Source organism: Homo sapiens, chromosome X, assembly GCF_000001405.40.
Source record: "Homo sapiens chromosome X, GRCh38.p14 Primary Assembly".
Classification (NCBI taxonomy): domain Eukaryota; kingdom Metazoa; phylum Chordata; class Mammalia; order Primates; family Hominidae; genus Homo; species Homo sapiens.
Window position 1 is genome coordinate 17,630,817 of NC_000023.11, and position 24,403 is coordinate 17,655,219.

The window sequence follows — 24,403 nt, forward strand, 5'->3', positions numbered from 1 at the left end:
TAGTCTCAAACCTGACTGCACCTCAGAATCACCTGGGCAGCTTTAAAAATACAGATTCCCAGGCCCCACCTCCAGTGATTCTGATTCAGTGGGTCTGGAGTGAGGCCTGAGATTCTATAGTTTTCCTGAGTTCAGTGTTTGGTAATTTTAATGCAGCTAGTCCTTTGACCAATGAGAACCACTCATTCTAGCCCATTGTCTTTATTTCTTTTCTTAGATCTTCTAAGAAACATTCATTGATCAAGTTCAGGAACAAATCACACAATCTGTCAAAGACACTAAGAAGCAGAGATTTAAGTCAAAAGATCCACAGTCTTTGGCAAATCTCTTGGAGTCCAGCATACGATGCTGACTCTCAGAACTTTCTCAGCAAATTGCATCTTTAAATTTTTTTCATGTGTCCTGAAATGTAAAGGTCTATTTGGTTGGGAAAAGGGAGAGACTTTTGAGACATCAAGTTACCATGGAGTTTTCCAAAAAGGGATATTTGACCAAGTTTAGAATATAATTCATGCTTTCCATCCTCCATGCTCAGAAGTATTAACCTATTAACCCTCCTTTCACTAACAGACCTAAATCTTCATTATTGTTGGTTGTGTGGATGATTTAGTGATGAAATTCAAAGAGAAACATTTTGTTTTGTTATCAGAGACTCTATATTAGGAAGATTTATGAATAGGTTCTCATGAAAGACACAATTCTAGGGATTTTTAAGCAAATGGACAATTAAATAACTGAATGAAGGTGGCTCAGACTAATGCAGAATAGGGGAGTATTCTAGATTTTGTAATGATATTGATGATAATAGTGATAAGAACAGCAACAAAACATGATTGCTAAGATTTGTTTCAGTGCTTAGTATGTATAAGACCAAGCACTAATTATTTGATCTGTATTATCTTATTTAATCCCCCCAGCAACTGTTTGAGGTAAATGTATCAGCTGGGGATCAACAAAGGCTTTAAAAAGATGAAACTTTATTTTTCGCTTGTGTAAAAGAAGTTAAAGGTTTGTATGCAGACTCAGCAATAATGAGGTACCGAGGCTTCTTCCGGCTCCTAGTTCCACTATCCCTAGACTGTGGCCCTCATCTTCACAGTCTAAGATAGCTGCTGGAGTGCCAGTCATCACATTATTGGCCTAAGCATCAGGATGAAAGAAGGAACATGCCCCTTGTTTTCTGGGGAGTCTTTCTAGAAATCCTGTACCACAGTTGCTTTGACCACATTGACCAGGTAGCAATCCCTAGCTAAAAGGGAGACCTGGATATGTAGAATTTTGGTTGTATGGCATGGGTACAGTTTTTTAAATGAGATTTTATAAATTTGAAAGAGAAGGAGAATGTGGAAGGTTCACTAAGAAATTGACAACTTATGCCACAGTAGGTAATATTCTTATCCCCATGTTGCAGATAAGGAAAATAAGGCACTAAGAGACTGAATGAGTTGGTGAAGTTCACACACTTTATAGGTGGCAGTCACAGTAGGACGCAATTCTCTATGATCATCCCTCTCCTGACTGCTATTTCATCCTGTCCATTTTTTTTTCCGATTTTGTAAAACAGTTTTTTTTTTTTAGAAAAACATTTGTTCATTTCCTGCTTTCTTCTTGGTGTGCCTTTTACCACCTTTGCATAGATCCTAGCCATTCTTCAAAGTTCAGCTCCAATGCCCCAGAAAGCCCTCCCTTGCACCCACAACTGCTTTCTAGTAAATATTTATTGAGCACCTATTATGTGCCAGGCACCGTTCTAGGCACTTGGGCTTCATCAGTGATTAAAAAAAACAAAAACAAAAAAAAACGAAGACCCCGGCTAGCTTAATAGTTCTGTGACCTTGGTCAAGTTCTCTGAGCCTCAGTTCTACATGTGTAAAATGGAAATAATAAAAATTACTGTGCAGAGTTATTGTAAAGATTAAAGATGTTACTGTATATAAAGTGCAATTACTGGCATATCATTAGATTTTGAAAAATGATGCCTTTTAGTATTATTATTGTTGTTGCTATTATTGTTATACTATTGTACTGTATTATTATATTCCCCTAATGAGAAATGCTATTCCTTATTAGGCTGTAAACTTCTGGGCAGGAATAGTATCCAAAGCCTTCTGGTATCACTCAAATACTTGATCAAAGTCAGGGCTTATTAAATGTTTGTTGAGTGGATAAAAAGTGTTTTGATGTAGAGAGAACTTCCTGCTTACTTATGCTGTAGATTTAGGAAACAGTAATAAACAGCCTGAGACCCATAGGAAGGGTTTTTGTTTTTTTTTTTAGCGGGGGCGTTGCCCAATTTAAACTGTGAGTGTTGGTGAGTGGTGTCCTAAAGCAAAACAAGAATGAGTAATAATCTACTCCTCATACTCTTCCGGAAGGCCTCAGAAAGAAAATATATCCTCTTCCTTTCAGTTTCTTTTTTTCACCTTCACTGATAGATTTCATGTTCCAACAAGTCCTGCTGATCTCTTTTTGTGTTTTATTTCTGTCTTCTAATTCTCTTCTCCATCTCTGATCTTTGCTACCTATGGGAATAGGGCTGCTGGCCTAGTGTCCACAGAAGAAAACTTCTGGAAATCAGGAGGCATTGTGCATCCAGGGTCCTAGAGCTGTTACATTCTAGACCTACGGACAGCACCCCAGCAAGAGCTAACCAGTGCTTGCATCAAAAGTGCACATCAGGTTTGTTGAGCACCAAACTCCTTTTATTTTGCCATCTCAGCCCAGCTTTCCCCTCAGCCCTTCTGCAAAGGTGAAAGGCAAGTTCACAGGATGCAGGGCCTTCTTTCTTCCCTCACATCTGGTTTGATTCTGGGCAGCTAAATAGTGGCTTTGCCATGAACAACAAAAGCTAATTCACTGTGGTGGTTTTTAAACACCAAGTGCAAATATTTTTCCTTTTCAGCTTGGGGTCACTGGAAGGGAAAAAACAGGGCTGAGAGGGAGATTAACCTTTTAAAACCTATTATGACTTCCCAGAAAAAATAAAACAATGGCAGCATTTCCTTTCATTCGCGACAGTCTTTTTATGAGTGATTGTTGTTTGAGGCAAGATTGGGGCCCTGAAGAAGATTTTTAAATACTAGCTTAGCTTGGTTTTCTACTCAAAAGGCCACCATGATTGCTTTTAAGAACCCACACAAATCCCTGTAAAGCCCAGGGCCACCCTCTTTGCTTTCTCTCTCTTCTGTCTTCATCTCTGGCTGACCTTCCCTCCTTTTCTCCAGCCCTTTGCTTTCTTCCCTCAATCAGGAGCCTGACTCTCTGCTAAAGGGAGGGGATCAGTGCAATCAGCCATGCCAGCCACTGATGCCACTGACAGATGCTTGGGAGGCTGAAGATTCTGTCTGGGTCATTTCTCTGAGGTTCCAGCCAGACTTTCTGTTGATCTGGGCTGTCTTAATGCATCCCAGAGCCTCAGCGCCGTTCAGTTCCTCTTCGGAAATGAAGTCGCCCATTCTGGTTCTTGCTGCGCATGATTAAGGAGCAGAAGTATCCAATACAGGGAGTCACAGCCATCAGCACAAATCTGGCAGATGAGAAAAAAGCAAGTCTATCTGCCTCACTAGTAGTCCTTTTAATCTTCTCTCTGGACTGCAGAGGAAAAGCTCGTCTCCCACTCTTCATTAGTTTATCTTCTTTCCTTCTCTCTTCCCTTTCAGCTTCTGCACACAGATTCACTTGCTGGGCTCAGGTGGGAGGCAAATCATGTGCCATGACAACATAAGGCTATTAGGGCAAAGATGTGGAAGTACCTAAACTCTCCCTTTCTTGCCAAGAGGAAGATCTGAACAGGGTCCAGGATGGTTGCTGTTTGTGAAGTGGTTTGAGTATTCTTGCTATGCGCTATTACTGCTGTTATCAGCATCACGAGAGTCTAACATGTTGATACAGGTGGTGTGTGTTGAGGGCGGGTGGGTGGGAAGGGATCAGAAATTGATTTGTAACCTGCAAAGAGCAAACTCCAGTTGTATCGCCTCCACCTGCACCATTCTTGTCCTTTCGGTGTGTGCGCAAATATTTGCAAACCTGTTGAATAGCGCACCCTCACACCAACCTAAAATTTCACAGCCAAGTAAGCCAGCCCCATCCTGGTGAGAAGAATGGGTGGCAACCTGGGGCAGCTATGGAGTGATGGGATGAAATGTATTCCTTCTCCTGATCAGGCAGTTGGTGTAGGGGCTGGGCTGCTGTGGCTCCCTGGATTTATTTGTCCAGCTTCCTGTCTCTGGCAGTGTGCTAATGGTTTCGATAGCCACATGGCACTTGGCAGAGCTTCTTAAACTGGTGTGGCCCGAGACTCTGCATTCTAACAAGCTCCCAGGTTGATGCCTATGCTCCTAACCCCCTGGCCAACTGCAATTGGAGTAGCAAGGCTGTAAAGAAGTCCCACTGCAACCTAAACTGCTCCAGGGATGAAAAAGGAAAGTGCTAAGCCCCTCCTCTGGAGACAGGGTGTGTCCAGGCTGCCCTGGAGTCCTGATTTGCCATTCAAGTGAACCCTGGAGGGATTAGCAGCCAGCCTAGCACTTGGGTGAGACCATCTCCCCCTCCAGGGGGGAGTCCTAGATGCAGCACAGAGGTTCTGTGAAAATCTGCCATCCTCCTTGCAGAAGGTTGCCCTCTCTCGCCCTCCATCCCCCCCGCCGTGCTTGCTGACTTAAGCAGATCAGCTTTCAGCTCTCTGGCATTCAGAGACGTCTTTGCATAAAAGAAAAGGCCCTTCCTTAAGGAGCAGAGCGGGAATCCAAGCATGGCTCTGGCCTGCTGCATGCCCAAGAATGCAGGTATTTGGGGTTTGCAGCATTTCTTGGCAAGACAAAGGGGAGGGGGAGGCTGGGTCTAACGAAGAGGGGCTTGTGCTGTAGCCACTTCCTATTCTGGGAGAGAAGATAACTATGTTTCCCAATGAAAGTGAGCCCTTTCACAGGAACAGCTGTGAGGAGGGGAATCTGCACTTGACCCTCACTCAAGGCTGACTTTGACATTTAGGGTCAGTGGCTCCTAAGCTTTGAGGACCTTGCATTGTTCATACTGGCTGGCCAACGTTTTCGCCTTTGCTCTCCTTCTGAGGCATCAAACTACCCAAGACAAAGAGGACAACCCTTTCTTCCTTCTCCTCTTCTGCTCCGACATTTGAACGTCTTAAAGAAGGGCCAGAGGGTAGCTCCAGTAGAGATTCCAGGGCAGGATTCCGGGGCTCTAGCTCAGGACTTCTGGGAAGGGGCCCCATCCTGCATGGGCTTGCACCAGGCCCTATGTTGCTTTCTTCTCCTCCAGCACTGCCCCCTCCAGTCTTCTTGGAATTCTTCAGTATCTTACCTTCATCCTGAGATTACAGAGAAAGACTTGTTTATCTCCCAGTGTCCCCAAAACAGCCCTAAACTGAGAGTCCCCAGACCCAAATCCCCCAACCTCTCGTTTCTGTTACATCTTCAATGGCCTTACACAAATCTGTTAAACCACTGTGGGGCCTGTCTTGATTTCTTTAGCCCTCTAAGCCCTCCTTCACTATACTTCTTTATCACATAAGTTTGGCCATGCAATTGAACCCTATTTGAAAAGCATTGAACTTTTTACAGTATTCTTCCAACACTGGGGTTATTAGTCCTTCAGTTGTAACTCAGGCTCCTTAATGTCAAGGACAGTGCCTTACTTTCATTTCTTGCTATGCGCTATTAGGTTGTTCTGCAGGAGGTGGCCAGTGTGACAGTTGACGCTGGCCACTCTCCTTGCCTCAGCTAAACCCCTTCACTGCACATTTGCCTCCACTGCCTCTGCGGAGGCTGACACAGGGCCAAGTTTCAAGGGTCTCCTATTAGCCCAACAGCTACCAACACCGTGTATGCAGCCTTTCTTAATGAAGGGTTTGTCCTACCTGCTGTCTGAGAACACTCTCTCTGAGCTGCCTTTCCAGGCCATGATGATGGGGAAGCACTGTTGTGTGCAGCTTTGTTACTTAAGATCGCTCAGGAGAAGAAGGAAGCATTCCTGTGAACCAGGCAGCTTCCAATGGGTGTCATGGAGCCTCTATCAGTTTGTTCAGGACATTGTGGTTTCTGAATTTTATGGCAGAGAAGTTGTTCAAATGCAAGTCCCTAATATCATATATATTTATGATAAATAACCATTATTTGATGGGCAGGCCAATTATAACAATTAAACACCTCAGACCAATCAAATCAGAATCTCTGGGAGTGGGTCCCGATAACAGTGCATGTTTTTAAAACTCCCCAGGTGGATTCCAATGTGCAGCCGTAAGAAGTAAGAACTGCACTTCCACCCAAACCCCCAATTCCCCTCAGGGAACCAAGGAAGACAACTAAGGGCCTACATTCATACATTTTCATACAGATCAGTGGATTCAGGAGAGAGCGTCCAACAGCCAGATAGTCTTTATTTATTAGGCCTGAAGAACTAAGTAATGGGAGAGTACCAAAGAAATAAGGCCCTGCCAGAAGTTTCAGTTTAGGCTCAATAAGAAAGATGAGAAAGCCTTTAGAATAGCTCGACCCAGTTTTCCCTCAAGACTTGAAGATCCAAGGCCTATACGTGGCTGACAGACCAGGAAGGGACTGGGCGGGGGTGGTGGTGGTGACAGGGCTACTTGACAGAGGGCTCAACTTTTTTGAAGCTGCTGGCGTGTCATGAGTTTGGCTATCTTTGGGCATTAGTCTCAGCAATGTCATGGTACTCCTGCCAACTCTGGATGGTTCACAAGTGGGAAGACTAGGCCCTTAATCAAAGATGCCTTCAAGTAGGACTTGGCAGATACTGCATTCAGCACAATAAAAGCTGAAGGGAAAATGACTGCTTTTACCTTAACGCAAATTTTATTACCACCAGGTTTCATTATAAAAATGTTACAGGTTTGGGTGTGTGTTTATTACATAAACGATGGAGTTACTCTGATCTTCACCAGCTTTCAAACTGGAATCTCAAAGGGAGTTCTATTTGCTAGATTTAAAGCTGTGGAACCATTGTTTCTCATGACTGCCTTATAAGCATAGGAATAAAATGCAGGGAAAAACAAACTCTCTGTTTTCTTTCCTTCTCGACCCCTGCCAAATTTCCCCAATCTGGAGGAAGGCACAGCCACGTGCTGGATGTTGTAGCTGATAGACTATATTTGGGCTAGGCTTACCAGGGATAGGATGGTCTTCAGGAAAAGTGGGAATGTGACTCAAATTTCAGGCTCCTGTTGCGTCTAGCTTAGAAAGGTGTCCTGGAGGCTTGGACAGGTGTGAGAATCACTTAAGCTGATCAGGCAAACTCTCAGAAACACAGACCCTTATGCCAACCCATAGTCAGTGGTCACAAAGTACAACAGCTACTGTCATTATGTGTTCCCAGATCTCTGGGCATTTGTCTTTCCCAGAAGCAAAGCTTTCATGTCATTATCAGTGTCATCTTAGGTCCCTTAGTTCATTCCTGGGAACCCTGCATTCAGAGGGAGCAAGGCATAGGCTGCCACTGTCTTATGGCAAAGACCATTTTGTCAATTTTACTGATGTTCTGTATTTTAAAATTAATGTACCTGATTTTATATTCTTTACTTGAGATTTTAAATTATTAAAAATATTTCTTAAATTGAATGTTTCAATAAAAAATGTGAGAATTGAAAACTACAAATTTACCTCAGAGTATAGCTTTGGTAATTTCCATTGGTTTTTCTATGTGGGCTTATTGTTATTGGTTTCATCCTCTGAATAGTTAGTTTTGGGCAAGACAGCATGGTGTGAGGAAAATGGGCTTTGGTGTCTGCCAGATCTGGATGTGAATCTTTACTCTGCCCTTTATCAGTTGTGTGACTAAGTTATAGGATCACAACTTCCTTATTTCTAAAATGGAGATAATAATATCTGCTTGTTGTATTCTTTAAACGATGATGAAATGAAAGAATGCAGGCAAAGGACTTAGCATGGTGCACCTAGTAGATGCTCAATCCATGGTTGCTATGGATAATAATAGCAAAAATAATACATCACTGGCACAGGCAAAAGCTTTGTGGCTGGGAAGTGCTCTCCATTTGCATGTCTTGGGCAGAGGGCCAGGACAGTGGGTATCCTTTCTGGATCAAACTACTTATCCTAATGTCCTCCAGAGACACTGGCAGATGGGACATGAAATACCAACAGTGTGCCTAGGGGAGGGCATGCAGCCAAATGTTACACTGAATTGAGCACGCCAAGGCAATCCAGGAAAAAACTCAGCACAAAAACTCACCATTCAGAAATTCCCCTGAACTGTCTTGATCTCATTTTCTCTTGTGGGATGTTCCTCAATGAACTGAGCTTCCCTACCCCAGATCTGGCTTCTTTCCTGGCTACCCAGCTGGGTTGCTTTCCCCTCTGTAGGGTTTTGACTGCACATTATAGCCAGAGCCTTGAGGGAAGTGAGCATTTGGGGAGCAAAACTTTATGGAGCAGCATCTCTGTGCTGGGAATTAGGCTTGGCTCTGAGCATCAAACATGACTAAGTCACAGTTCTGTTCTTGAGGACTTCCAAGTCAGGTGCCTTAGTCCATTTTCTGTTGCTATAACAGAATACCACAGACTGGGTAATTTATAAAGAAAATAAATGTATTACTTACAGTTCTAGAGGCTGAGAAGTCCAAGATCAAGTGGTTGCATCTGGTTGGCTTCTGGTGAGGGCTTCATGCTGTGTCATAACATTGTGGAAGGCATCCCAGGGTAATAGGGGGGTTGCACCGAGAGCCAAACTGGCTCTTATAACATATCTACTCTTGTGATAACCACCCCATTCATGTGATAACCCATTTAATCCATTAACCCATTAATCTATTAATCCATTTAATCCATTAACCCATTAATCTGTTAATTCATTAATCTGTTTATCCATTGGGTTATGGAAAGAGCCCTCATAACCCAATCACTTCTTAAAGACCCCATCTCTTAATACTGTTAAATTGGAGATTATGTTTCAACATGAGTTTCTGAGGGGACAAACATTCAAACCATAGCATCAGGAGAATACTGACCCATGAACATCAGAAAGGCTAAACACAGTGCCTTTAGGCCCATCCACAGGAAGGAGGAACCAACTCTTTCTTGTGGAGTGGCATGGGAAGCCAAGTGAGGCTGATGGAGGAGAGGACTTTTGAACTGACTTTGTCAGGATAAATAGGTTAAGATGTATCAAGTTTTCGGTAAGTTTTTAAAAATACCTATTTGCCTTTGGTTGATTCTTGCCTTCTCTGAGTCTGAGGGGCATAGGAGGTGATGGAGGAGATGGTAAGGTTTAGGAAGAGATAAGGCTGCAGGAAGCTATAAGCAACTGTAATCTGCTATCCACACTCTCTCCATCCTGCAGAACTCCACTGTATATAGAGGTAAACTGAAGTGGAAGTTACTTATCTGTGTTCAAAGCAGAATCTTCTAGTTTTCTCTGAAGCCCACCCTGTACTTCTGAATACTTTGGTGGGTAGCATGGCTCTTTCTCTCCTAGTCTTTTTGGCTCAGCAAGAATACCGGAAACTCCACTCTCCTGAAGGGTATTACTTTTCATGGCCTTGCATGTGGCTATAACTCATTGATCTTGAATGTAGCTGCACCCCCGGCTCCTGAAATGGCAGAAAGGACATACAGAAGGGAATTAATCTCAGCCATATCCATTCACAACTGAAACACAGAACTGGTTCTTCAGCATCCAGAGGCCAAATGTCAAGCTCCAATAAGAGGAAAGATGCAAATGCTTCCTCAGCTTCAAGGAACTGAGGCCTCCCAGGAATGTTGTCTTTGCTCCTTTCTTGATCCCACCTTTGCAATTGAGTGAGGAGGAAGTTTTCATTTATTCTTCAAGATAGAGTAAATCACTCTTCTCTCACCACCTTGTCTTTGTGTTAATGCTTGCCATGGATGACATTTGGCCATTAACAGCTAAGCTCCCTCTTCCATCTAAGTTTTTATCCCTGGAAACATTCACAGGCAAGTAAGAGCTGGATGATTAATTTTCGAATAAGGATGTGTTTGAGAACAGGCCAGGGGCACACATCAACAGCCACATAGCCGTTGGCTTAAATGGATGATAAATTCTGCATCCCAACTAATACAGGCCCATAGTCCCTGCTTTGAAAACCAGGGGTGATGACAGGGGCCATGGGTTTCTAGTGCTTTCCACACCTGTCTCAGAAAGCAAGCAAAATAACCACTTGGGAGAATTAAGATAATTGTGTGTTGAGTGTTTTTCCCTAAGAAAGAGTTGATCTGTTGCTTCTTTTGATTAGGCTTTTATTTTTGCCCTTTCCCTCTCTCCACTGAGTTTCTAGTTGCTTCTTTTTTATTTTATTTTATTTTATTTTTTTACACAAAAGACATCATGGGTAAGAAGAGGAGATTTTATTTTGAAGAACAATGACCACATTAACAAGGTGACAACAGATAAGCTAAAAGTCACTCCATTTTCTGCCAGGGAAAAATGTCCTTTGCTGCCAAATCACATTCTGCTTCTCTTTGTCTACTCTCCTTTTATAGGAGGGTGGCAGGCCCAGCCACTGATGGACTCAGAAGAAATATCTGGGAGATAAGATACACCCTTGATTCATATGAGAAAAGAAGCTTTTGAGTTCAATGATAAAAAATAACTTCCTTTCCTGTTCCACAACATTCTTGTGGCTGGAGCCCTCTGTAGGACAACGACATTTCTCTCCCCTTGGTCCAACATATCACGCTGAAAATAACTATGAATTTGGAAACTTGGTAAAGGGCAAAAATCCAATTTCTTGCATTTAATAGATATCTAGGCTTAGATTAGATTCTGTAGGTATAGAATCTGCCCTACATCCTGCTCTATATTTGGGGCAAAGCTGAGAACCTCTCTATCTTTAAAGTGTCACAGCTGCATTTAGAGACCCAACCCATTCAGCATTCTGTGAAAGAACAGTAGAACCAAATATCCATGTGTGATTATATTCCCAAGTGTGTCTATTTAAAAAAAAAAAAAGAAAAGAAAAAAACAAACTTCAAAATGATTGGAGAAAGAAAAACTGGATGTGGGATGGAGGAGGTGACAAGGGAAAGGGAAGGAAGCTTCTAAGGAAGTGAGATTTGAGCTAGGCTTTGATGAATTGGTAGAAATGTATTAGCCAGAGAAACATTTTAGGGTATATCTTTTTGTTGTTGTTGTTGTTGTTGTTGGAGTCTTGCTCTGTCACTGAGGCTGGAGTGCAATGGCACAATATCGGCTCACTGCAACCTCCGCCTCCTGGGTTCAAGCGATTCTCCTGCCTCAGCTTCCCGAGTAGCTAGGATTACAGGCGCAGGCCACCAGGCCTGGCTAATTTTTTTGTATTTTTGGTAGAGAAGGAGTTTCACCATGTTAGCCAGGATGGTCTCGATCTCCTGACCTCGTGATCCGCCCTCCTCGGCTTCCCAAAGTGCTGGGATTACAGGCGTGAGCCGCCACGCTCGACCTAGGGTATATCTTTCTAAGTTTTGGTTTCTTCTATAAAATCTCATAGGCTTGTTGTGAAGATTTAATGGCATAATTAAAATAGTGCACATGGCACACTGCTTGGGACATAAGGACTGAATAAGTGGTTGTAGTTGTTGTCATTGCTACTGTTATTATCATTGCAATTAGGAGGTGGTATTGGAAGTATGTGAAAAGAACCTTCGTAGGGACATGATGCTATTACCACAGGTAATTAAACCCCTTTTTCCTGACCCCTTTTTCTCTGATCTTATCCCGTTCTTTCTGAGACTGTCATCTTTTATATTTTGGCATACTTTGGTTAATATTAGTTCGCTTCTGGCAAGATGAAAGCAGACCCAACCAAGTATCAAAAGATTTTTTTTAACCCCGCTCCATTTCCCAATATAACATCTTATACACTGATTTACAATTTCAGTAGTGGGTGGATATTCGAGTGAAGATGTAAATATAAAACCAATAGCTTATGCTATAATTTCTCCAGGGGTCTTTGTTTTTAGCAACTTATTTTAGCAATTTCAAAAAATATTCACTCCGGTTATTTTGATTTTCTTCTAATCTGTTTATCTTCCAGTGATTTCATTCAAGTCACAAAGGAAAGGTGTTTCTGGAAATAAGCAATGAAACATTTCTTTTTTAAGTTTAGTAGTTAATATGGCAGTATTTTTGCCTCATAAGTGATGGATATAATGTGTTTGAGAGGGGCTTGTCCATTGATGTTAGGGACTGAGGAGATTGTCACATGCAGTGGTTGGGGGAAACCAGGATGGTAATGTTAAAAGTAATTTAATGACTCATGTGCTCAGGAGGATTATGCTAATTGCTTGGTCATAGCTTATCCTCATCACAATCCTCTGATGCAGGTACAGTTATTCTTCTCCTTCCATAGATGAAGAAAATGAGGCTTAGAATATTTACATAACAACTTGCCCAAGATTACAGCTTAGTTGTTGCAGAGCCAGAATTTAGACTCAGTTCTCTCTGGCTCCAAAACCTATGTTTTGTGTGTGTTTTTCTTTCTTTCTTTCTTTCTTTTTTTTTCCCAGTAGGTTATACTGTCTGCAGGGATTTAAAAATAATGATCCCAAACTAAACATGGGAGTGATGTTTTTAGGTTATCATACAGTGCCTTGGGGAAAGTGGGAGCTCTCAATGAGGTTAAGGGTTAAAAGATGTGCTATGGCCTGTGCTACAATCTCTGTTTAGTTCGTCCAAAGTAGAAGGAATTTAGTTCTGATCTGAAGGTGTAAAAACTGATCAGAAGAAATGGCCTCAATCAAAATACAAGACTGTGAACTGAGAAGTGGTGTCACTTGGACAAGGGACAGAGCCAATAGTGTCCTGTGTCTTGAAAAAAGGGAGGGGCATGGTAGGTAAAGCCTGTTACCTTCACTTTTGGTTTCTTTAATGACACTAGAACTTTTTGCTAATTAACTTGATTGCCTGCAACTGATATATTTATTACTAAGCATTGTTTATCAATGACATATTGTTCAAATATTTGTTTCCCAGGAGAAGGCTGTAAATGTCCTCTGGGATCATAAAAGGTGATGGATTAACAAGTGCTGGTAGTTGTGGTAGGTCAAGAAGTTACAATGCAGAATTTCCCATACTGTTGTTTGGATATGTTGGCAGGTCAGCATGAAGAGATGGTGTTTTTCCATGATGAGAAAGATGATAGTTTGTCCTCTAATTTCTTAGCTTTAGCATCCGGTGAAGTTGCTTGCAGGGACTATATTTTATCTTATCTCATTCAAAGTCTCTGAATGAAATAACAAGTAGCAAATATGATTACAACTCTTTCTGTAGTTACAAAAACCTATTTTTAAATGTCTCCCATCTACAATTGGCTATCTTCATACCACCATCTGCTTTCTCAAATTTCCCAAGGCCATTTGCTGTGGATAACCACAAAGCTGCCCGGGGCCAAAAATGCCACCTGTTGACTGGAACAGAGAACTCTTGGATTCAATATCTTTTTCCCCTCCACCTCCTTTCTTGCACCTTGGAATGATAATGCATGTGTCTCTGAAGTTCCCCACACTAGCCAGATGTTCCAGTCATACAAAAAAATTGCTTGCAATTTCTCATCACATCATGCTCTCTCACACACCTACAGGTCTGTGTACACTAAAACCTCTGAATGCTTTTATGACCTATTTTACCTGGCTATTTCTTCAGTTTAGAAGCCTTAAGCATCACTTTTTTGGGGGAAGCCTTCCCTGAAATTGCCCAGGGTGATTTAGATATCTCCCTTTCCATAGCCTATATGTAAAGGAAAGATAGTTGTGCCTGTCTATCTTTTAGTGGATGGTAGTGCTTCCAAGGGAAGAGGGTGAACCAGTACCCCTATAAGGACCTGAGCCAGTGGTGGAGATAGGGAGGGATAAAGTCAGGCATGGCTCCAAACAGTCTTTTATATCATCATTTGAATTTTTTTTTCATAGTTGCATGCCTCATCCTAAACATTCTTATAAAATTAGCACTATTATCTATGTTATGTAATATAAAATAATCTCTCCTCAATCATTGAGTAAAGCTAGTGGTCCAGGAAGATCCTTCTATATTTATCCTGTGGCTTCCTGAACTGCCAGGCACGCTACAGTGTATCTCGGGAGTATGCATAAGTCCCTCTGAAAACCAGGTATAAAATAGCGTCTCTCAAGGCAGCCATTCAATGGTCTCCTTCAGAGTAGGCCCTAGGTCTTTCATCTCTGCTATAGTATTGTCTAGTGGATTTTAGATACTCAAGAAATATTATTTTTTGGAATGAGTTAATCTTTCAAGTGATATCAGACATAATAAAGAATCAGTGTCATTAATCTTCAAAAAGACAGATAATTCATTTGTAGACCCCAAAGTCTCCATCAATCTACTACTCTTTCTCTAATTATTCTTGCATTTTATGAGGTACTGGCATTTAAAATTAATTTTTAAAACTATCTTCTTGAGTTATGTTAACATTGGTTACTCACTACCATGATACCAGTATTATTTTCCACTCTTCATTGCAAATACATGTTTTCCAGCAATATTATGGGGGAAATAAGCCTTGATGGAAAAACCTGGAACTCTAAACACCATCTGTAGTTTCTTTTCCATGGGAAAATATGTCCTGAATTAAAAGGGAAAACTGACTTAGAAATGAGCTTCGGAACACTTCAAGGCTGAAGAAGACTGCATTCAAGCATCAGACCCCTGCATCCTACAGCTCCAATTTATACAGCTTACTGCCCGAAGCCTGGGGGCCTAAGGGAGGGAGCCTAAATCCAGAGACACAAAATGACATCCTAGAACTGCTGAAGTGGGCAGGGAGGACCTCAGTGTGGTCCCCCGCTGGGCTATTTCAGAGTTCTATCAGCATCATCACTAGGCCATCTTGGATACATATTGACCATCCCAGAAAGCCAGAAAACTTCTTTCTTACAAATCCTACTGAGATTTACATCTCTGTGATCCCAAAACTGTTCCCTCTTGAGACAAGAAATATCCGAATCATCTGTTTTCTCTGTTTTAAAAAGTCAATTTTTAAAAATATTGTTTGTTAAGAAATATTTATGAGAGAAGGAGCTCCTGTGTGCAAAGCAACTTTCTAACACATGGTCCATTTATTATGAAATTATTCTGCAGAAACTTCCTGTTGCTTTGTCTTTCTCCTTTTATGTATATATGTATGTATATATGTATGTATGTATCTCTTTAGAGATAGGTTCTTGCTCTTCTGACATCCAGGCTGGAGTGCAGTACCGTGATCACGGCTCACTGCAGCCTCGAACTCCTGGGCGGAAGCAATCCTCCCACCCCAGCCTCCCAAGTAGCTGGGATTAGCCACCATGCCCAGCTAATTTTTTATTTTCTGTAGGAACAGAGTCTCACTATTTTGCCCAGGCTGGTCTCAAACTTCTGGCCTCAAATAATTCTCCTGCCTCAGCCTCCCAAAGCGCTGGGATTACAGGCATGAGCCACCATGCCCAGTTCCCTTTCTCCTTTTAGAAGTGAATTACTCTGAACCAAAACCTTACAAGAGCAAGCCAAACTGTGCCTTGATTCTCTTTCATGTCAAAGTCTAGGTGGTAAAACATGGATAAGGGGCTTTTGACAAGAACAGGAGACTTCTTTACCTGGCTTCTCTAGTAAAGCTTCTAGTATCTCAGAGGGGCCATTGATTCTCCATACCTGGTCATTTCTCCATACCTGGTCATTTCTCTTTCCTGCTATTCCACTCAACCCTATCCTCAAACAAGGAAACCTTCCCTCCCAATTGAGTACATGATACTTTTATGTCTCCTCTGCTCTGGAAATGTCATTTCTGATTCTGCTGGGAAGGCAACCAATGGAGGTCTCAGCCTAGAGCCTTAATCCACTGTCCTAGGCATGTTCTCAGACTGGAAAAAACTGTTGGGAAACAAGTTCAGAACCTGAACTAGGTGAGACTGCAAATACTGGTATAGACAGGTTTGTTTTAATTTATAAGGTTGCTCAGCAAAACATCCCCTTTTCTGGAACATAATTAGTATGTTTTTAACTGCAGATGTAGAAAAAATTGTTTAGGGTACAGACCAATATATTTTCTTATGTTTATAAGGAAGGTTTCCTTCTCTCTGTTTCTCCTTTATCTACTCTTTACGAAACCTTGCAAGAGTAGACTAAAAGGGACCTCCTTTCATTACACATCTTTTTTCCTAAGAAGCAAAATGAACTAAATTAGTTCATTCACTCAGTACTGTAAATACCAAATAAAAAAGTCATAGACGTATAGATATAAATACTGCTTCTGTAATGATTTTTTTGTGTGTGTTTGTATAACTAGAGGGCACTGGGAGAAAGAGAAAAGAAATTATTCAAAGTTCAAAGGCTCCAAGATTTACTAAGAAAATAAGAAAAGGGAAAAAAAAGCCCAAGCATTCACATGCTAAGATAGCTGAAGGATCAAGTAATATGTTACCCCAGCATTTTCTTCAAAAGAAACGGCTTTTGTAGAAACTGGTGGAAAGTCCAAATCTGAACATTTTTTCTGATTATAATAAATAAAGCTAGTAATCCCTGTAGAGATTAAGAATGCAGGCTTTGGAGTTGCTTTCACTGTGCTGAAATTCCAACATACAGTCAAGGTTGAGAACACTGCTTTAAGTACTTAGTTGTAACTTCCTTTCTCAGATAGTTCAATTTGGCCCTAATTTGGTTTATAATTACAGCATTCTTTCCTTCCTTTTGAGAGTCTCCATCTGTACATTTCCCAAGTGTGTGGAAAGGGAGGGTGGACATCTCTTTCCCTCTCTCCCACCTGTGTCTTTGCATACCTTATCTTCTTAGGAAGACAGCATGACTATTGTTGTTAAATACAAAACTGACCCCATATTCTAACAAATCATAGTTCTTCTTGGCCCACAGCATTACTTTTTAATTTCAGTGATGGATTTCTAGGGGTCATGCATTGGCATTAGCAGTCTTTAAACACATCATCTCTTTTTCTCTTCCTTCCATCCACTGATTGTTTCTTGAGGGAGGCTCTGAGCCATTCACCTTGGTGATTCTTTCCCCCAAACCATATCACCCAAAATCAAGCTGCCAAGCCCAGGATTGGAGGAGGAAAGGTGGTCTTCTGGAACTGTATCCATAGGAATCCTTTCCGAACTGGCACTTTCATGGGGCATATTGAAGTATTGTGAAGACCTTGAGCAGCGACAGTATTTGGAGCCATCAGAAAGGATTTACCTTTTTTTTTTTTAAGTCTTTAGTTTATGATCCTTGTGCTCAAACCAATAATCTTTAACCATTAGTACCTGTTTTGACATATGGCCAGAAATTTATTTTAAAGAACGGCATTAGTTAGCCTTTTCTGCATAAAAAGTCACCCAGTACTTAGTGGCTTAAAATTTAGTGGGTGGTTCTGGTCTGGGATGGCTCAGTTAAGCTCTGTGGAGTTTGCTTATGTGTCTATAGTCAGCTGGGGCTGAATGACCTAGAGTGGCCTTATTCATGTCTGGTGATTAGCAGACCAAGATGGGGGTAGGGGACAACTGGGCCACCTGTACCTCATCATCCAACAGGCTGGGCCAGGCTTCTTCATGAGCAGCAGTAAGCAGGGCAGGTGCCAAGATCAGCAGAAGCAGAAGTTGCAAGGCTTCTTGAGGCCCAGGCTCAGACATGTACAATGTCACTTCCACCGCATTCTTCTGGCCAAATCAGGTCATAAGGCCTGCTCAGATTCAAGGTGGAGAAATAGACTCCATATCTTGCTGGGAAGAGCTGAAAAGCACCATGGCTATTTTTTGAAATCTACCGTAATAACGAAGCACCTGTATTTGCAAATTTTTATACACATAAATTAAAATGGATTTGAAGTTCTTCCAATAGTAGGGTAACTCTCCTTGTATTCAAATAAATGGGAGAAAAGGGGGTGGGAATTTCCCATGGTTATGATAATGAGTGGTTCATGTAAATATCATGGGTCATGAAAGAAAAAGGTTTTGAACAGCTGCCCAAGAGACAGTGTAGTGAGGTGGAAAGAGCATGAATCTTAAAATCAGACAGACCTGTGTTCAAACTCCATCTCTCCAACTTGTTAGTTGGATGGCCTTGGGCAAGTTATTTAACCTGTCTGAACATCAATTTCCTCACCATAAAACAGGAATAATAATACCTAAGGCACATATCTGTTGTGAGGATTAAATAAGATTATGGGGTAATGCCCAGAACCTAGTAAAGAGCCATTTCATGGTGCTAGTTTCCTTCCTTGACCCCTTAATTTTGTGAAATCGGTGTGTAGTGGGCATAGTGATTCTTTCATTCAGAATCAAAGCTGTCCCACCCCTTTCCCTTCCAGATACCAGCCTGTCTTTTTTCACATATTGCATATCTTTGAGAGATGACTTCAATACAATATTTTTCAACCTGGGATCTTTGCAATGTTTGCAAACATAAACTTACAGTTAAAAATTCCAAGACAATTATTAGCTTTGGTGCTATAGATTATTCACATTTTTGAGTTGTGCATAGCTTGCTTTTTCTTTATGGTCTGGATATACTGTGCAATTTTGGAAACCCACCATCAGAAAAGGAGGCTTTGAAATAGTAGAAGTTGGGCAGCAATGTATGGGAACCATGTTTTTTCAGAAAGGATGCATTTACATTGGATAAGGTTTTCAAACATATCCAGGAATTCTATGTAGTGAGGTTAGTCTTTGGGGGCTAGAGGAGGCCAGGTTGGGCAAAACCTTTGCTTAATCTTCTCCTCTGATGCATTCTATAGGGCTCCATTTTGGCTAAATCATCATAATTCCCACCAAGACAGCACAGAATGATAATGGTTTTATTTATTATTTTATATTCATTGCCGGTATATGCAAAGTTTTATAGCTTGCTATAAATCGAGAGGGATTATCACAGCTGTTACTTATTTTAACAGGTCACAATAGAGTAGTTTATGCCAGATGGTTTGGAGAATTTTGAGGGAGAAATTTTATACAGGCAGCCATATAGATACTAGCTTGGGTAGTCACACCCTGAAATTAATTTACATTTGTTATGATATAAAATATATATGAATAAACACATAGTTCCTTATGAATGAGTGATCCATTTTATAGCAGCTATTTCTTCTGGAAGTCAAGGGAGTCCCTTTGTGAGCAGTGGTGGGGCAGGAGCAATAGTAATGTGCTGCTACTGGGATAGGTGAGAAGTAAAGCTCCACCACATGCATAGCTCTGGAGGGGACATTCAACTTGCTCCAGGGAAGTAAGCCTTGGAGACAAAATTGAGTTTTCATAATTGGGTCTCAGCACGTATTTGAGTCAAAGAGAATAAAGCAGGAAACTCGCCCTAGGTAAACATAAGGAGAGAATGGGTATGGTATAAATACAGTAGAGCTAGAATTGGGATCCTCGAGGTCACCCTCAAGGTCAGTCTGGGACCAAAAGGTTATCCAGCCCTGGGCAAATCACAGAACATATTACTTCCCTTGCAGATGCTGAAGTTTATGGGTAGAATGGCCAATTCTGGATGCTCAGCAGAAACAGGAAGATAAAATAAGTACTGATGATCAGAAATCATTTTAGAAGGTATTTTTGGTTCCAAGTCTCATAGAAAAATTGACTTACACAATGAAAGACGTAGAGAAAATTTTACAGATCTCTACCCTCCTTATTTTATAGATGAAGAAACAGACCAAGAGGATCATTTAAATATGATCATCTTAGTTTTTTCAGTAAAGAAGTAAAATCAGACTGTCAAAGTATTTGGGCTCCATTGGCTTCCTCCAATCTTTCTCCCCTTGATCCAGCCCCACGAGTTCCTCTCCTGTATCCCACCTCATGATGGGAAAGGACCACATTCCCACCTATCAGAATAATCCAAAGACCAGGTCTAAAGCACACCTGGATTTTCTTGGTAAATTGTCTGAGGCATAAAGTTAATATACCACCTCTTGAACTGAATTAAAACTATTTAGCCTTGTAGAGTCAATTCTTCCAGCTCCTGTAAAATAGGAGTCAATTAAGATCTGTTTGTGTCAACAAAATAGTAAATTAACCAGCAAAGGTAAATTTAAAATGGGAGATTTGGAGCATATAACAGCTAAAATCTATATGTACAAAATCAGGAAATGACAGTATTTTGACAATTGAATAGTCCATGCATGTTGAAGGACAGAACTGGAATCTGTATCGTGGAGTCCCCCAAGATGGCTAGTAGAAGAATGAAAGCTTTGAAAATTTGTAAGCTCAGCAATACAGAAATACCCCCACTCTTCTCAGGGCTGCTGAACTTCCAATAACTTCAGCTTTCAGGAATACAGCACCAAACCTGGAAGTAAGTGAAAAGAGTTTCCCAAGGCTACAAATAATTGTCAGCAAGCCCACATGTATCCTTTTGGCTCTTGCTGGAGAATTGGTAACTCTTCTTTAATGGACAGATGTTTCCCAGCCATGGGTGTCTGTTATCCCCAGCTCACTGGAGACTTAAACTCTGGGGAAAGGAGCTAGAAGAAGGTTGAGAAAGGAATGATAATGGAGAACTAAATACCAAGGAAAGAGCATGGAAATCCACAAAGGAGTCTTAGAAATGTGTTACCATAGAGACCAATAATAAGCTTTCTTAATAAAGACCCTAAGTAATCAACAAAACATTAAATTGTGTTTTGTAGCATCTGATTAAAGAGACAGGAAAGTGAATTACTCAAGGTAGGCTAATTCTGGTAATAAACCCCCAATATTTCAGTGTCTTACCTCTCACTTTCCTTGCAGTTTAATGCTGGTTAGCTTGCAGGTGGGTACCTAGGCTCTTCCCATCTTAGGAATCCACCATCCCATAGAGCCTCTGTGTTCAGCCAGCAGGGAAGACAAGAAAGTGTGTGTAGGAATAGGTAAGAGTTTTTATGTGCCAAGGCTGGAGGCACACGTAACTTCTGCCCACATTCCATTGGCCAGGACTCAGTTAGAGGGCTGTACCTAACTGCAAGGGAGGCTGGGAAATGTAGTTTAGCTGTAGGAGAAAGGAGACAGTTTGGTGGACAACTAATTAGCCAGTTTCTTCTAAAGAAAGTATAAAATATGCTCAGAACAATAAGGGGCTTCAGAAAATTGTTCTTGGTTGGATAAACTTTAGTTATATGGAAAATTACCTGTGTAGACTTTACCATTTCCTGGCAATACCAGTTAAAGGAAATAGTTATTTCCTGAGCCACACTGTAGATCAGAGGTTGGCAAATTATGGCCCATGGGCCAAATCCCACACACTCTCTATTTTTGTGCAGAAGGTTCTATTGAAACACAGCCACATCCATCTATATATGCACCATCCATGGCTGCTTTTGAGCTACAACAGCAGAGTAGAGTAGTTGCAACAGAGACTACATAGCCAGCAAAGCCTAAAATACTTTCTACCTGGCCCTTTACAGAAAAAGTTTGTTGGCCCCTGCTATAGATCATCACTGTCCTAAAAAAGGACACATTTGCAAAATTGTCTGTGAGACCTGGTATCCTTGGCTTTCAGTAAAAACATCAGTATGTCGAAGAGACATCTGCACTCCCATGTTTATTGCAGCACTAATTGCAATAGCCAAGATATGAAATCAACTTATGTCCATTGACAGATGAATGGATAAAGAATATGTGGCTTGTATACACAACAGAATACTATTCAACCATAAAAAAAGAATACAATCCTATCATTTGCAGCAACATGGATGAAACTGGAGGACATTATGTTAAGTGAAATAAGCTAGGCACAGAAAGACAAACATGGCATGTTCTCACTCATATGTGAGAGCTAAAAAAAAGATCACATAGAGAGTAGAATAGTGGTTACCAGAGGCTGGGGATGGTGGTGTGGGGATAAGGAGAGTCTGGTTAATGAATTTAAAAAATTACAGCTAGATAGGTGGAATACGTTCTAGTGGTATATAGCACTACAGGGTGACTATAGTTAACAAGAATTTATTGTATATTTTGAAATAGCTAGAATAGAGGATTTTGAATATTTCCAACACAAAGAAATGATAAATGCTTTAGATGATCAATTTGCTAATTATCCTATTTTGATCATTTCACATTGTACACATGTATTGAAATATCATACTGTATGCCGAAAATATGTATAATTATTATGTATCAATTAAAATAATAATTTAAAATATATATCAGAAAAGTAGGATACCTATATGGACTGGGATGTAAACTCAGTCCTTAGAATGTCAGCTCCAACTGGGCCCAGACTCTGCTGTATCCCCACAAGCACCCAGCACAGTACCTGGCATCTGAGAGATACTCAATAAGGGCTTATATTTGAACCTTTGATCCATAGGAAGCTTCAGGTACCCTAACCACCATACAGGGGATAGGGGGACCTAAAAAAATGCAATATGAGCATTATGTGTGAAGACCTCAAACACAGGTAGGAAGGAACCATCTTTGTTGAGCTTTTATTACGTGCTGGGCACTATCATTGTGCTTTATTGTTTTATTTACTCTTTTAAGCAACTCTATAAATTAGGTATTCTTATTTTCATTTTACAAATGAGAAACTGATTCAAAGAAGGTTCAAGATTCAGAGAGTCAAATAATTTTCCCAAGGCCACACTTGTTAAGAACTGGAGGAGCTAGGATTCAAACACAGGTCTTTCTGGGTACAAAGCCTATGTGGTTTTCTTTTCTTTTCTTTTTCTTTTTTTTTTTTTTAACCTCTCTGCCATGGGACTTGCTAAAATCTCATTCAAATTTAAGCAATCTAGTTATATCATTATTTTTGCCATCACTGTTAACAACCACCTCATTATTGTAAAGATCAATACAAAGGAGAAAAGACAGGGCCATTTTCATTGCTTTGTGGAATTCTGCAGACTTCATTGTCAAGGCTCTCCCGTGATAGAGCAGACCTGAAAACCTGGAGCAATGCAGTTCATTTCCTTGGGCTGTGTGATTAGTGACTTGGCCACTAGCTACCCATGCACTTGCCAGGGATTGCTGTCGAGGGCAGCCATTTTGCTCACCCTAATGTAAATTCTCATGTCAAGACCTGAGAGGTTTGAGTCTGTACATGGTGAGGCTTCCTGTTTGAAGTTGATCTGAGAGCTTGTTAACATACAGATGGCCAGGCCTCACCCCAGAGTCTGATTCAGCAGGTCTGGGAAGGCCTGAGAAGGTGTATCTCTACCAAACCCCCAGGGGCTGCCGGTCCTTTGAGAAGCAAGGCTAAGGGAAGGACTTCCCTTTACCTTTGAGAAGCTCTGACTGGTATTCCCACCCACTTCACATCTCCCATCAGTAGCCAATCCATCAAGCCTTCCCAAAGCCTTAGGGGTCCAGGTCTGCCCTTGGCAGCAGAACTCCTCCCACTGACCCCTCGGTGACATTTGACATTATAAATCACCCAGCCTTCTTAAAACTCTTTCGTCCATCCCCCTGTTTCTGAGATGGGGCCCTTCCCCCCTTCCATCCTGGTCTCCTGCTTCTCTGAGTAATGTCTCTTCCTCTCTGATGACCTTTTCCTTTACCCACCCACCCCTTAAACCTTGGGGTGCATGGCTGTCTTCTCACCTTCACTGGGGGAGTGGCCATGCCATCTCCTCCCACCTCATCCTTCCTGTCCCAGCCACACTCTGTCTTCCGGGGGACTTCCACCAGATTCTCTGTCGTTGCCAGCAGCTGGCAGCCCTCCAAGGAGGCTAGTGGAGAACAGCTAACCCAGACTGACTTGGGTTCTAGGTGATACTTCATGTGACCACAATCATTAATTCACAGTAATGCCAATTAGGAAATATTCTTTATTTCACACACAGGCAAACCCCAAGATTTCTTATGACCTTGGCAAGTGGAGTGTTTCACAATTGTGAATTCTGGAGAAGTTACAGGCCTGGTGGATATAGTATTGCCCACACATGCAAATCTGCCCAGCGCCTAAACATCCCTAGTTGAAAATAGGCAACCCAGTCAGAAAAGAGTCAAGTTTTCCCTAAATAGGTTTCAAAGACATATTACCAAAAACAACATCCCACAAGTCATCTTTGGATAATTTCATTCACTGGGTTTCTTCTTGTTATGTATGGTATTAGGATATATCCCATAAGTGTTGTCTTTGAAGTGGCCCTAAATGGCTCTCTGCCTTCTGCATTAGGTCGCTATATGGAGAGCCTACCAACTTAAGCTATGGGCACACACTGCCATGGTTTTTAATCCTGGTTCAACCTCAGATCTGGTTTAGTAAATCGCCGCTCCCTGGAGATTAATACATGGCTGCAAAGGCATTGTCCTTGCAGTGTTTTTCAGCCTGGGCAGGGTGAGATGTGTCTAGGATGCGAGGTTTCAGCATCCGGAGATGAATGGGGGGAGGGGACGCAATGTCACATTTTTCGGGTGCTCTAGTCCTGTTATATGCGGGCACATGCTCTACGCCAGTCTCTGTCCACCCTCTTGCCCGGGCTGGAGGGGTTGGCACGGTCGGCGTTTCTGATTCCTTCCTC

General features: G+C 41.5%; 1 protein-coding gene and 1 long non-coding RNA gene across 7 annotated transcripts in view, besides 1 other annotated feature; one reads left to right on the forward strand and one right to left on the reverse strand.

The window, feature by feature from the left end:
* NHS (NHS actin remodeling regulator) overlaps positions 1-24,403 on the forward strand; it is a 360,795-nt gene that overhangs the window by 255,617 nt on the left and 80,775 nt on the right. For 2 of the 4 annotated variants that reach the window (NM_001136024.4, NM_001291868.2), the window contains exon 1: positions 4,684-4,784. The exons of the other annotated variants lie outside the window; for them this stretch is intronic. In NM_001136024.4, the coding sequence (NP_001129496.1) occupies positions 4,751-4,784 (34 nt within the window). In that variant the 5' untranslated portion in view covers positions 4,684-4,750. Of the gene's footprint in view, positions 1-4,683; positions 4,785-24,403 lie in introns of those variants that run through there. 4 annotated transcript variants of the gene reach the window in all.
* LOC105373142 (uncharacterized) lies at positions 1,442-20,938 on the reverse strand. Of its 3 annotated transcripts, XR_001755804.2 has the most exons (4): positions 20,673-20,938; positions 17,484-17,697; positions 8,591-9,580; positions 1,442-5,326 (listed from the first exon to the last, which is right to left on the reverse strand). It is a non-coding gene; the product is annotated as an uncharacterized LOC105373142 (long non-coding RNA). The 3 variants fall into 3 exon arrangements; XR_007068402.1 differs by lacking the exon at positions 17,484-17,697; XR_007068401.1 differs by lacking the exon at positions 20,673-20,938 and having other exon boundaries at positions 8,591-19,750.
* Positions 4,222-4,880: an enhancer, noted in NCBI's record as "NANOG-H3K27ac hESC enhancer chrX:17653158-17653816 (GRCh37/hg19 assembly coordinates)". NCBI's record gives its function as "activates a minimal SCP1, AML or CMV promoter by ChIP-STARR-seq in naive H9 embryonic stem cells {active_cell/tissue: H9 hESC(naive)}" and the evidence as "EXISTENCE:reporter gene assay evidence [ECO:0000049][PMID:30033119]".